The sequence below is a fragment of the Homo sapiens genome, chromosome 7, assembly GCF_000001405.40.
Source record: "Homo sapiens chromosome 7, GRCh38.p14 Primary Assembly".
Taxonomy (NCBI): Eukaryota; Metazoa; Chordata; class Mammalia; order Primates; family Hominidae; genus Homo; species Homo sapiens.
The window spans coordinates 29680625-29694067 of NC_000007.14; the positions used below are offsets into that span (position 1 = coordinate 29680625).

General features: G+C 38.1%; 1 long non-coding RNA gene, 1 other non-coding gene and 2 pseudogenes across 5 annotated transcripts in view, besides 1 other annotated feature; 1 reads left to right on the top strand and 3 right to left on the bottom strand.

The window, feature by feature from the left end:
- MIR550A3HG (MIR550A3 host gene) overlaps positions 1-4514 on the bottom strand; it is a 39217-nt gene extending 34703 nt beyond the window's left edge. The window contains exon 1 of the long non-coding RNA NR_024278.1: positions 4149-4514. This is a non-coding gene — a long non-coding RNA (MIR550A3 host gene). The remainder of the gene's footprint in view (positions 1-4148) is intronic.
- Positions 110-204, bottom strand: MIR550A3 (microRNA 550a-3). Its single transcript, NR_039600.1, has one exon. It is a non-coding gene; the product is annotated as a microRNA 550a-3 (primary transcript).
- ZNRF2P2 (zinc and ring finger 2 pseudogene 2) lies at positions 4148-5197 on the bottom strand (annotated as a pseudogene). Its single transcript, NR_027347.1, has one exon. The product of NR_027347.1 is annotated as a zinc and ring finger 2 pseudogene 2 (transcript).
- Positions 4310-4359: a silencer, noted in NCBI's record as "silent region_18048". NCBI's record gives its function as "represses an Ori minimal core promoter by ATAC-STARR-seq in GM12878 lymphoblastoid cells {active_cell/tissue: GM12878}" and the evidence as "EXISTENCE:reporter gene assay evidence [ECO:0000049][PMID:35858748]".
- Positions 4530-13443, top strand: part of DPY19L2P3 (DPY19L2 pseudogene 3) — a 57468-nt pseudogene continuing 48554 nt past the window's right edge. The window contains exons 1-3 of one of the 2 annotated variants that reach the window (NR_158194.1): positions 4530-5241; positions 6655-6775; positions 10294-10404. The product of NR_158194.1 is annotated as a DPY19L2 pseudogene 3, transcript variant 3 (transcript). Of the gene's footprint in view, positions 5242-6654; positions 7620-10293; positions 10405-13443 lie in introns of those variants that run through there. The other variant, NR_036482.1, reaches the window with a different exon arrangement.

The window sequence follows — 13443 nt, forward strand, 5'->3', positions numbered from 1 at the left end:
CCAAATAATAATAAATAGTTTAAAAGTTGATATCTAATTAATGTATCTGGTAATCAAAAGAACTTACTTACTGGTCACCAGGCAAAGCAATCAAATTGGAGGAGAGCAAGAGACTTGTTGGAGATGTGCCTGAGGGAGTAAGACACTATCTTACAACAACAGGACTCTTACTCCCTCAGGCACTGCACCAGCCAGCAAAGCATCAAAATACCAGGTTCTTAGGTCACGCTGCTCTCAGATCAGTGATGCCCTGTGCAACTCACCAATCCTCCCCACCTTGCAGTCAAGAATAGTTCCAAAAAATCCCCAAAGCAGAAACTTCCATGACACAGGCCACACTTACACACAGCAAAACATATAACACGAAGGTATGAAATCACAAGTGAGGAACAATAACCACCAAAATTCTTATTACTTCAGGAGTGGCAGGGGTTGTGGTTAGAAGGCTCATTTTTTTTAGAAAGAGGCAAACATTCCTCTTTGGTCACTCCCCATAAAAGCCTTCAATGGCACAAAATAACATTCAGGAATAGGAAGTAGATTAATTACAGTATCCCAAATTCAAACATTTTGGCACTTGATATTGGTAAGGAGTGATAACTGAGACCAATTCCATAATGGTTAATTGATGAAGACAACCTAACAGCATAAAACTTCACATCTGCTTAAAAATTAAGAGAAATCGTCCTAGAAATACAGGTCTTATTCAACATATTCAGTTTTAAGAGATAACCCACACTCCTTCAATATAAGAAAACATGTTGCACAAGTAACAAGGCACCTGAATTACAATCAGACTACTGAAATACTCATGAGCAAGCCACACCCAAAAAAGCTCAAGAAAATCAGGAGGCCAAAAGCAACCCAGCACCACTGGTTGTCTTAGATTAAGTCATTTTACATTTTCACTTCTGGACTCAAGGATACATTATAGAAGTCCACACGATTTCTCTGGAAATAATCTCCATGTATTGGTATATTTCTATAGCCCAATTCATCTACCCCATCCTTGCTGCATCATTAAAGGCTATTTTACCACTCATGTTATGCTCTATGAACAATAGCTACTTGACAGTGGAAAAAAAAACGTAGACGTAAATTAAAGCCAAACAAACCCTAAAATACCATCAACATTTTTAAATATTAGGAAATACCCTTAAGACCTTTTTTAAAACAAAGGTGATGGACCACACTAGCAGTAGTCAAGAAAGCGTCTGTTCGCTTTAACACTCCCCACTCTGGAAAGAATAACAAGCACAAGATTTACTTCACCTAAAAACTCCTAAATATAATCACATTCTGATGTCCGGCAACTCAATTCTAGGAAATTTCTACACACTGAAATATCTGGATTAGGCATTTTTCTTCCAGTTCTCTAGAGAGAATAAGAGTGTATATAGCCAAAATAGATGTGCAAAAGACAGCAAAACATAAAACCAACACAGAAAACTTCCTCGTTCAATGTGGCAATTCATTTTGAGGGAACTACTAACAATTCCACTTGCTAGACTCTTAAGTGTTAAAAATAAAAGGGGGGGACTGTTTTTCATTTTCTATAAATTACATGAGACCTCACAAGAGAATAATTTTGAATCTTATAAGTACCACATTTTCTTATTAGGAGACGTTAATAATATAAACAACAATTAAAACAAGTTTTACAAAAAACAATATGAACTTTCCATTAATTCTGAAATAATCCTTTTATCAATTTTCAGATGGAGTTATTTGTATATAACCATTTATACAATTTGTAACTGAATAAACACAATAATGCTATAATAGATACTAAAAAATTAAGTAAATGTGAAGTACAGTCAAGTCTAACTTTTTAAGATTCTTCATCTAGCTCCCTAAATCTCAAGATGATGAGAAACATGCTTCTATTGTTTTCCTAATAACCCGTCCACTAAAATATAGGTAAAAATCTCAGTAAGGCAATGCCACTAAGATGGGTTTTTAAATAAGTGTATTCCATCTCCCTGCCTCAACAGAGATTTCAGGATGTGGCACTTTCATCTGATCCTGTCATATAATAAGAACAGGTAATTTCTCTGATCCCTTTCCAGCAATTCTCAACTGAGGTTCCTCATCTGAATCACCAAACATAGGAAATTATTTCAGTGACTTTTCTCAATTGTTCCAAGAATGATACATAACTAAAACCGTCCTAAATGCACTGGTGCTGAAAGTTAAAATTCATTGCACACTACGGCACAATTCTCTCCAGAAAGCCGGGTGAGAAAGGCTGCTATAAGTTCCTCAGAAAGTGTCACTGTACTACTAGGCCCCAGTCACCCAACCCCAACAGCACTAAAAGAACTATAGTGAGTGCACAAATCTAGAACTTAGATAAGAAAAAAGATAAATGCTTTATCTCCAACTTTAAGCAACTAGGTATTTTTACTTACTAGGAATAGCATGGGGTTGAACTGTCTCTTGCTCTGAATAGAATGCATTTACTTAACAAAATAAACCCACAGAACTATAATGTTTCTCAAAGGGAATTATCAGCTCTTAGAAAATGAATTTTTAAAAATCAGCATATTAAATAAATATTAACTTGACAAGGCTTTTCCTATTGACCCTTCTTTAGCAAACAAATATTCATCTTTTGATAACTGCTAAATGCAAATTTTCACTTTAAAAAGATAAAGATAAATATTAAAAACCAGTTTGCCCTTCATTTTCGCACTAATCACCAATTCTCAGAAACTGCCTTTTATATTCTTCAGTGTGGACTACAGCAACTTCAACTGCTGGGTTAGTTGTGATCAAATCACTTTAAAGACACCAGTGGAGTTCTTTTACTCAAAAGCAAATGACTTTTAAAAATGGCCCAATTTTAAGAGGGATGAATATTTTTAAGAAGCAAAAATTACTTTAAAACAAGGTTGCTAATTAAAAGTCAAGCGTCGTTCCATATTGAATGTACAAAGCGTTACTAAAAAGATGGGAAAAACTAAACATGACATTCCTATTTTTAATTTATGCTGGCGTGTGTGCTGATAGCACAGAACATCACAACAGATAAATTACTACGTATTCCACTTTACTAAGTCTCCACTCAAAGTTCCTACGTTTACAAATATGTAAGTAAAAGAGGCACAAAAATGTAGGGGATGGTGTTTTCGTTGCTCATCTGTGCTCAGTTGCGAATTCTTCTAATATCAGATACATAATGCGATGAAATGGGAATGCTTATCTTCTATACTTCTATTTATTTTCATAAAGCGGGAAGGGGAGGTGGTCTTGATTCATTTAATATTAGCGTTTTGCAATAAAGTAGAGCAGCATAAAATATAACTGAAGAAGAATTCATTTTCCCCAGGAAAATGCACCCTTCCTCCTGTTTCTACAGTAAAGCACATCATTTTGCTATTAAAAATGTCCATTTTTCACAACTGACTTTTCCTTAACTCTAGTCAACACTGCTCTTCAAAAGAACCTAGCCAATTACTGTACCTTGTAGGCAGAGTTGCAAAATTTTTGCTTCCCTAAGAAACTTTTCCATTTTTTAAATGCTTTCCAAATTAAGCAGGACTCACATTAACTGTGATCTTAAGTAGCAGTTTAGTGAGGTTTGAAAACAAACTTTTCATTAACGCATTCATCCAATTAAAGTGACATAGTAGGTGGGACTACTGACACAGATTTAAGGATTACAGCTTTATATTAAAAGTCAGTCCAAAGATGGTAACTCAGAGTTCATTTGAGACCCTTTGACTTTTGGCTTTTAAAAATTGTGCCCCACTCGAGTACCAGATAGAACTACATTTAGCAACCGTCTCCTCCTGACTTCCTGGTACTAAAAGCCACAACCACAAGGGCTATTTCGTGGGTTTGCTGTAAAACAACATTTGCTCCAGTCAACTCACTGGAAAATAGACTATCTCTACTGAGTACCCGCTGAGGTGTGGGTGCTCACGATGTTTAAAAACAAAACCACGTGTCTACGCGGCAGCGACACCGCAGGTGTTACGTGCCGGGTTTCTTCCCAGGATGGAGACCGGCGCGGGCTGGGCCGGGAAGCAGCCCCCGGCGCCCCGGCCGAAGGAGAAAAGGAGAAGGGTAAAAATAGCCGGCGGCCACGGCCCACGTGCAGCCGCGGGAGGACCGAGCGCGGGCGCGTGGAGAGGGGTCCGTACCTCCAAACATGCGCGGTGAGAGGTGAGCTGGTAAGGAGCCGATCACCAGGAGCGGCCCGCCGGGGCTCCAGCCCACCGGCCGGTGCCGGCCGCCGCCGCCATCCTCAGGGCTGCTGTGCACCGAGTCCTGCGAGTCCTACGGGCCGCTGCTGCTGTTCGGGATGCTGAAAGAGGACTGCGCCGCGAAGGCCCCCGACGCCACGCCCCCCCGAGGAAACAGCTGCGGGGCCGCCGCGGCGCCGCCGGGCTGGTGAGCGCTGGGCACCTGGGCCGGGAACCTCCCCGCGGCGGCGGCCTCCGGCCCCCGGCTCTGGTCCCGGTCCCATTGGCCACTCCGCTGCTACTGGAAGGTAGATCCGAGCCGAGTACGCGCGCGTGCGCCGTGAGCGGCGGCCAGGCCGCTCTGCTTGGCGCTCATGTCCGCCCTGCTCCGGACCGGGCCGCGCGCTGTGCCCCGAGAGCCAAGAAGGCAGGAGCGAACGCGGGAGCTAGAGGGCAGGGCCGAGGCGCTGCGGCCGGCCCAGAGAGGCCCCCGCACGTCCAGGGCCGCCGCCCGGCGCCCCGAGGGGCAGTCGGCGCCCGGCGCGCTCTTCTCGGGGCGGTGGGCAAGGCTGGCGGCCTGACGCGGGCGCGGGAGACGAGGAGACGCGGAGAAGAAGGTGTCCCGGCTGCAGGCACCCCTCGCTGTCTCCAGCAGGAAGGGGCGACTCAGGTGGCGGTGCGACTGCCGCTGGTTTCGGTTCTGGTGCGCCATGACGGGCCGCTGCCGCTTTCTGCCGCCGCGCTTGGCGCCCCGGGCCTCCGCACCGCCTAGTCTCCGGCGGCCGCTGCTACCGCCGCCATCCTCCGGCTCCCACGGCGGCTGGCGGCTGAGTGGGAGGCGCCCGCCCAGACTCCGCCGGAGCCACCTTCCCTCCTCCCCCAGCCACCCAGCCGTTATTAACGGAGAAAGAGGAAAAACGGGTGGCGCGCGAGGGGAGGACGAAGAATGGGAGGGAGGGAGGGGTGGCCCGCGCTTCCCGGCAACCGTCGCTTCCCTCCCCCTGCGAGATTAATTTCACAGGGGATTAATTTCTCATTTACAAATAAAAATGTAAGTTTAGAACAGAATGTTTTAACAAGGTAAAAGCATTCACTGCATACTATATGCCAGCACTATACTTAGGACATATAGGACATATACGACTGTATATGTGAGCGCTTATCTCACTTCTCTTGTAGAATGGTTATTATTAAACTTATTTGAGAGGTGAAGTGATTGACAGCCGTTGAAGGATTACTTGAGACCATGGAAACTATAACTTGCAGAGTCAGAATTTGAGTTCAATTCTGACATCAAAGCTATGCTTTTCCTACTGTGTCAACCTGCATAATAAAACTACACTTCTGAGACGAGGCAAGATGTTTTTGATGTTTAGTGATGTATATTACATTAACATTGATAATATGATCTCATTAGGTAGTATTGAGTAACTCTAATTTCATGCTTTAAATGCCTAGGGGGAGGACTGGAAAGATAATCACCAACTTTTTTTTTTTTTTTTTTGAGATGGAGTTTTGCTCTTGTCGCCCAGGCCAGAGTGCAGTCCTGTGATCTTGGCTCACTGCAGCCTCTGCCTTCCGATTTCCAGCCTCTGCCTTCCGATTTCAAGTGATTCTCCTGCCTCAACCTCCTGAGTAGCTGGCATCACAGGCGCCTGCCACCACGCCCAGCTAACTTTTGTATTTTTAGTAGAGATGGGGTTTCACTATGTTGGCCAGGCTGGTCTCGAACTCCTGACCTCATGATCCGCCCGCCTTGGCCTCCCAAAGTGCTGGGATTACAGGTGTGAGCCACCGCACCAATTACCAAAATATTAAAAATGGTTAGCTCTAAGAGGTGCTTGCTTTCTCTTTTCAACTCTTTATTTTTTGACATTTTCCCCCCAGTGATTTCACATTAGTTTCCCAGAATGTATAGTGTTATTTTTAAAAAACCTCTGAGACATGAACATTCTGTTGGAAATTTTTTTCTGTTGTTATTTTTTCTTTGTCTTTGAACTTTTAAAAATAGCTTGCAGTTTGGAAACAATTGGTCAATTAAATCTTCTGCTTGGTTAAAATTGTAATGGGTACAGGTGCTATTATTCCATTCTGTTCCAGTTTTTATAATATATTTTATATATTTTATGAAGGAATAAATTCAAGGATCTAAATGAAGTGAATTATGAAATGTTTCTATAAATCTTTGTATTTTTCTATTATCACCATATTTTAATTATATACTTTTATATTGACTTACTATTATTTATATTACAGAATTGGGTATCACATATATAATATTTTTCTATATAGAGGCATAATGTATAATTTTGAAGTGACTGATTCCTAAGTGAAATGATCTAAATAAATTTGTCAGAATTTATAATGTCTAAGGCAACCATCACAAAATGGTATTTTGGAAAGATTATTATTATGAAGAGAATATATTTTCCTCCATTATCTCTTTGTTTTTATCTTTTTAAAGGTAATCATAGCCTCCTGGTATCGCACATCCATGGGAATACTGAATTTATTTGGACTAGAAACTAACACCTGCTGGAATGTCACCAGAATAGAACCTCTTAATGAAGTTCAAAGCTGTGAAGGCATGTTTCTTCCAAAAATGCTGTCATTTGTAAACATTCATAAACATTTAATAATATTATGATTCACTTTAAAGAATTATTGTAAAATACTGTTGTTGATTTAAAAAAAAATTAGAACTGGCTCACCTCAATGAGTATTTTACATTTTAAAGTAGTTTTCTGAGAAGGCTGTGTACTTACAAATTTGAGTATAAATTTTGGAATTTGAGTATTAACATATCCCATTGTAAGGCAACCTTGACTATAAGTTAGTCTTCTATTTCAGAATGCGAAGATACAGACAGATGTTTTTTGGGGTAGCTTCAATATATAAATTTTGAGGATAGATTAAAGAGTCAAATATCTATTTGTAATAGCTAATGTATAAATTTAATTATGCATACATATTTAAAAATCGGATATGCAATAATAGATTGATTTAGAAACATTACTTTTTTATATATGCTCATAGTCCGTGAGTAGTATTAATAAAACTCTTCCTATTTATCTTCTACATTGGTTTCTTTGTCAAAGAACCACTTTTGGAGTCATCCAACAGCGTTCCAGGATACATAGTGGTCACTTCCATTTAAGATGTTTGCATTTCAGCACTTTTATAATTCAAATATGGTGCTGTCCCTTGAGACTCTTGTTGAGAGCCACATGTATCTCTTTTTATAACACTAACACTGTTGTTTTTTCTGCATTTCTTCAAATTCTTAACAACATGACTTATTATATTTTATGAATAAATTTTTAGACTTGTCTGTAACAACATTCAACTCTTGGAATATAAACTAAATCTATTTTCCTTACATTTTTTACTGATTCCCTCAGTAAAAATAGAATTGATGAGGATGTTTGAGGGGCAATTATACTTTTTTGTGTACAATGTAAAGGATTGGAGAAAATGCCTCATAAAATGAGATACTTTGCAATGATTCAATCAGCTAGAAGGTGTGACCCTGTCTGAGTGGTGAAAATGATCACCTAAATATGGTATTAATTACATTCCCAATAAGTGATAAGTTAGTGTTTGGCACTTGGGACACAGAGATGAACCAGCTAGACATGGGGCCTTACCTTCATAGAGTTTATGCTGTAAGAGGTCTTTTAGCAGTTACAACTGTGAGGGATACTACAAATAAGAAAATAAGATTACTGACATTAGGAGTAAGAGGATAAGTATTTTAAGAATAGGGAATAACATATTCAAATATCCTGAAGCAAGAGAGAACTGAAAGAAGGCTAGAATTCCTGGAAGTGATGGAGAAGAAAAATGATGTGAAATGGTGCTGGGAATATAAGCAAGGATCAGATCATGAAAGGCGTGCACTGGTGAAGGATTTTATACTTTATCCATTGAAGAATTTTAACAGAGTTTCATTTTAAAACATTATTTAATCAATGGTATGGAAAGAATATTAGTAAAGGGACAAAAGTAGGTTCAGGGAGGCCAGGTAGGAGACTATTATATTCTCAGCAAGTGATTGCAGGAAAGATAATGTGGATATGCAGGAAAGATAATGTGGATAATGTGGGTTTGAGAGAGATTTTGGAAGTAGAATGGACAAGACTTGGTAATTGTTTGGTAAGAGAGGGGAAGGTGAGTGAAGAATCATGTGAAACACAGTTTGGTTTCTAGCTTAAGTAACTGAGCTCCTTTGAATGGTAGGAAACATTTGAACAGCAGCAGGTTTGTATTGTTATGTTTCATTGTGTATGCTTGAATTTGAGGTACTCGAGAGACCTCAGAGTGGGGGCATCAAGTGGCTATCTGGGTATAAGAATAAGGAGAAAGTTCTGGATTAAATGTAGAGTTGGAGTCATCTGTATATAGATCATTGGAGCCATGGATGTGGAAGAATTTCTTTATGGAGAATGTGCAGATGGAGAAATGAAGGGAGCATATGACAGAGCCTAAGGTGGTCCAGTATTAAAGAGTGGTACATAAAACAAGAGAAATTACTGGAACTGATTGAAAGGAGTGACCAGAGAGGCAGGGGGAATCAGAAGGCCAGCCTTCAGACCTTGGCTCCAGCCAGTTAAAGTGAAATAACCTTTGACAAGTTGAATATTCTATGTTCTGTTTTCTTAATCATAAGAAAAGTATTTTTATATCAGCTAATATCATAAACTTGTTCTGAGAAAAATGTGGGATGGTTGTAAAGTACATATTGCCACACACACGCACGATCTTCTATATGGAATATACTAAGATTCTAGCTATACATAATAATGGATCAAATGACTGGATCATTTCATATAGACTAAAGCTGTACCCTGAAGTCAAAACCATATCTTAACTCTTCCTAGAGCCTAGCAAAAGATAAAAATAATGCAATGGATTTTCTTTTGTATTCATTAAGTGGTTCTACAGACAGTTCCAGACACTGAACACTAGCAGCATCACCTAAATAAATGTGAATCCCCAACAAATCATTACAGTATAATAGTAATTCATTAGATGAAAGTACAAATGCAATTATAAAAAGTATAAAGTGTAACTATATAATACCTCATTAAGGGTGAGCTTACATATGTGTATGTGTATATATACACACATATATACACACATACATATATGTGTTTGCATACACACACACACACAAACTCTTATAAGGGTAAAGAATTAAACACAGCGGCAATCTGGAAAGCAAATGCTTTGAGCAAATTCATAAGCTCTTGATTGCAAAGCACTGAGATAATTATGCCCAATTGCTTTCGAGTCATATATTCATTAAACACTGATTATCTGTATCTTTTCAAAGGATTGGGAGATCCTGCTTGCTTTTATGTTGGTGTAGTCTTTATTTTAAATGGACTAATGATGGGATTGTTCTTCGTGTATGGAGCATACCTGAGGAAAGACTACTACTGAATTAAGACACCTTTCAGTGGGCTTATACAGACCGGCTGATATTTTTTGATTGAATGAAAAGGAAAATTAACGAGATTAGATTCATATCAGGAAAGTTTGTGGATTTATTTGATTTTTTCAGAAGCTTAACCAATATCATGTAACCAGAAACTGGAGATGTCACTAAAATTCTATCTCAAAGGCATCCCTTTTATCCCTTAAGGATTTTTTTTTGACTAATTAAGATTTCCTAACAAAGGCTTTAATGGAATATCTCCTAGTTCATGTGTAAAATTAATAAAACATTGGAGGAGATCTTTGGTTAGCAGTAACAGCAGCTTATTTCTAATTGTATTCTCTAAGGATGAAATTAAGAAAGCAGTAGGAAAAACTGTATCACATGTGGCAGGCACTTACATCTACTAGCCTATCTTGATAAGAGTACCACGATGAAGAAGCAGTGAGACCGGTCTCAGGTGATAAGTTGAAATTAATTTCAACGGTCATGTGTTTTGCTCCCACACTTAATTGCTCCCTGAGATAGCCAAATCAGCGAGTTTTTGTCAATGAAAACTAAGGTGAAGTCAGTTTTGGTTACATCTAGGAAAGTATCTGCCTTTCTCACAAAGGACAGACTTAGCTGCCCCTTCTCTGTTTCTTCCTGCTTTTATTACACTAGGATGTCATGCCCAGAGCTGTAGCGGTCATCTTGTGACCATAAGGGAAAGGCCATAAAAATAGCAGATATATCTGGCCTACCATCCTTCTGCTGCTGAACCAATGCCAACAGGTACTTATCTTTCATTTTCTTGTTGAATGATATAGTAAACAACATCCATATTGTGTAAGCTACTTTTGTTAGGTTTTCTGTTTCTTTCAGTGGAACATATTCCTAGCTGAATCATCAGATTTCTTTACAATGTTATTCTTGTCGTGTAAAACATTTAAAATTAAAATTAAAATTAATTAATAGTTTTGCTCTTTCAACAAATATTTGTTGAGTTTTCATAGGGCTTATGTCAATATAGAGATTAGTAAATATACACACTCTTTGTTTTAGGAAGTTTTCAGCATAAAAAAGACTAGCATAGAATCAATGAAAACTAGTGACATAGTCAGTGTTGTACCAGGGATACTATCCAGCATGGTACGTAAAAAGAAAATTAGTAATAAGTATAAGGATTAGAAAACTTGAAAAAAAAGAAATAAGTGTTCTTAAAAGTAGATTACATCATATATCTAGAAAAATTTTACAAGTTTATGGATACAGTATTTGCAATAAGAAAATATACAATGTTACTAGATGTAAACATTAATATTAAAATTCAAAATTATAAATTTTATACTTTAGGATCAAATAGAAAATGAAATTTTGAAAGGATGCTATTTAGAATAGCATTAAAAGCATGACGTTCCTCAGAATAAATCCAACAAAAAATATATATGATAGCTATGGGAAAATGATTAAAACATTCCTGAGATATGTCTAGGAAAATCTAAGTGGAGAGATATTCCACATTGATTGATTGAAGACTTGATATTAAAAAGATTTGTAGATTCAATGCTCTACCAGTCAAAATTCCAACATATTTTTTGTTGACTTTGATGAACTGATTTAAAAGTTACTCAGAAATGCAAAGGGCCAAATACAGTCAAGGTATTCTTGAAAAAGGAGGATTTGCACTATCAACTGTTGCTATATTATAAAGCTAATGTAAAAAGACGCTGTGATATTGGCACAGGAATAGACAAATAGATAACCGAAATAGAGTACAGCCCAGAAGCAGAAATGTACATTTAAAAGCATTTGATATATGGAAGAGCGGGTATTGCAGATTGGTGGGTAAGGACAGGCATTTTAAAAAATAGTCGTGGAATGATTGGGAGATCATATGGAACAAAGAAAACTTGGAACTATATAAATAATACTCCAAGCTGGATTAAACACTCAAATATGAAAGACAGATTTATAAAAGTGTTCAGCATATAATATAGAAAAATCACTTGGAATAAGAAATGATAAGCAAGATACAAAAATCCAGCCATGAAGAGAAACTGATAAATTTGATGAGTTTATCAATTTTACCTCAGAAGAACTGTAGGATAAAAAAAACCTGAAAGTGAGTGAAGATATTTACAAAGTGTACGCCCCACCTACTATCCAGAAATTCCATTCATTAATTTGATAAATATTTATTGAAAGCCTGTTGTGACCAGGAGCACTGTTCTAGGTGCTTGGAATACAGAAGAGAAATCTCTGTCCTTGTGAAGTTTATATTAGAGTGGGAAGATAAAGACAAAGAAGAAAGACAACTTGATAGAAAAATGGACAAAATGTTTATGAACTGATATTTCCCAGAAGAACACCAAATGGTCAATAAACATATGTAAAGTTGACCACCATCATTTGTCATAAACAAAATGTAAATTCAAACCACAGTGAAATACCAACTCACATCTAATAGATTGATAAAGGAGCTTTCATCCACCACAGGTGGACATATAAATTGGTACAACTATTTTGGTAAACAGTGTATATTATCTGGTAAAGTTGAAGGTATAGATACCTTATAACTCAGCAGTTCTAATTTAACATATATATTCCCAAAAAAGTATTGCACATGTGTACTAGGAAGTACATACAATAATATGGTAGCATTATTTGCAATAGCTTCAAACTGGAAAGAACCCAAATATCCATTAACAGAGAAATGAATACATTTTGGTTTATTAACATGGTGGAACAGTATACAATAATGAGAATGAATGAACTATGCAGCTACACACAACATGGTTGAATCTTACAAATATAATTTTGAATGAGTGAATCCAGGTACAAAATTAAAAAAAATACTGCATTCTTCCATTTGTATGTTGTTTAAAAACAGATTAAAGTAAATCATAGTTTGATATGTGTATAGAAAGAGTTATGTTGATAATCTCAAAAATCAGGTCAGTAGCTGATTCTTATCTTGGAGGCTTGCAAGTGAAGACTGAGTATAATCATTTCTCTATTTCAATTAATTATATGGTGACTACATGGACGTTCCCTTTACAGTAGTTCTATAATCTAGAAATTTTATGCACTTTTCTATATGCCGTGTAGAAAAATATAAGCTCATTAAAGTACTTTGAGGGAAAAGGATTGCTTTGAGATTGTTTGGGCAGGTTTAAAAATGTTCTATTTTTTTTAAAAAAGTTCTGTTTTTGGGCAAGGCGCAGTGGCTCATGCCTGTAATCCAAGCACTTTGGGAGGCCGAGGCGGGCGGATCATGAGGTCAGGAGATCGAGACCATCCTGGCTAACATGGTGAAACCCCGTCTCTACCAAAAAAACAAAAAAAAAAATTAGCCGGGCATGGTGGCAGGCGCCTGTAATCCCAGCTACTCGGGAGGCTGAGGCAGAAGAATCGGCTTCAACTGGAGAGGCAGAGGTTGCAGTGAGCCGAGATCGCGCCACTGAACTCCAGCCTGCGTGACAGAGCGAGACTCCTTCTCAAACAAACAAAAAAACAAAAAGACAACAACAAAAGAAATGGTTTTTATCTTTCATCTGATTTTTGTATTCTGCATTATTGCTTCTCTGGGACTCAAGTAAAGAATATTTGCAGTAGTTTAGACAGTTCTAAGTTAATGCTACATGAAACTGTTTGAATCTTGTCTTTATCTCTCAATCCCTTAAATCCAATTTCAAAAATAAAAAGTTGCCTTTATTCAGGTTATTCAAAGGATGTGATCTAGACTCTAAAGTGCTAGCCTGTTTCTTAAAAATTACTTTATGCAGTGGGGCGCGGTGGCTCACGCCTGTAATCCCAGAACTTTGGGAGGCC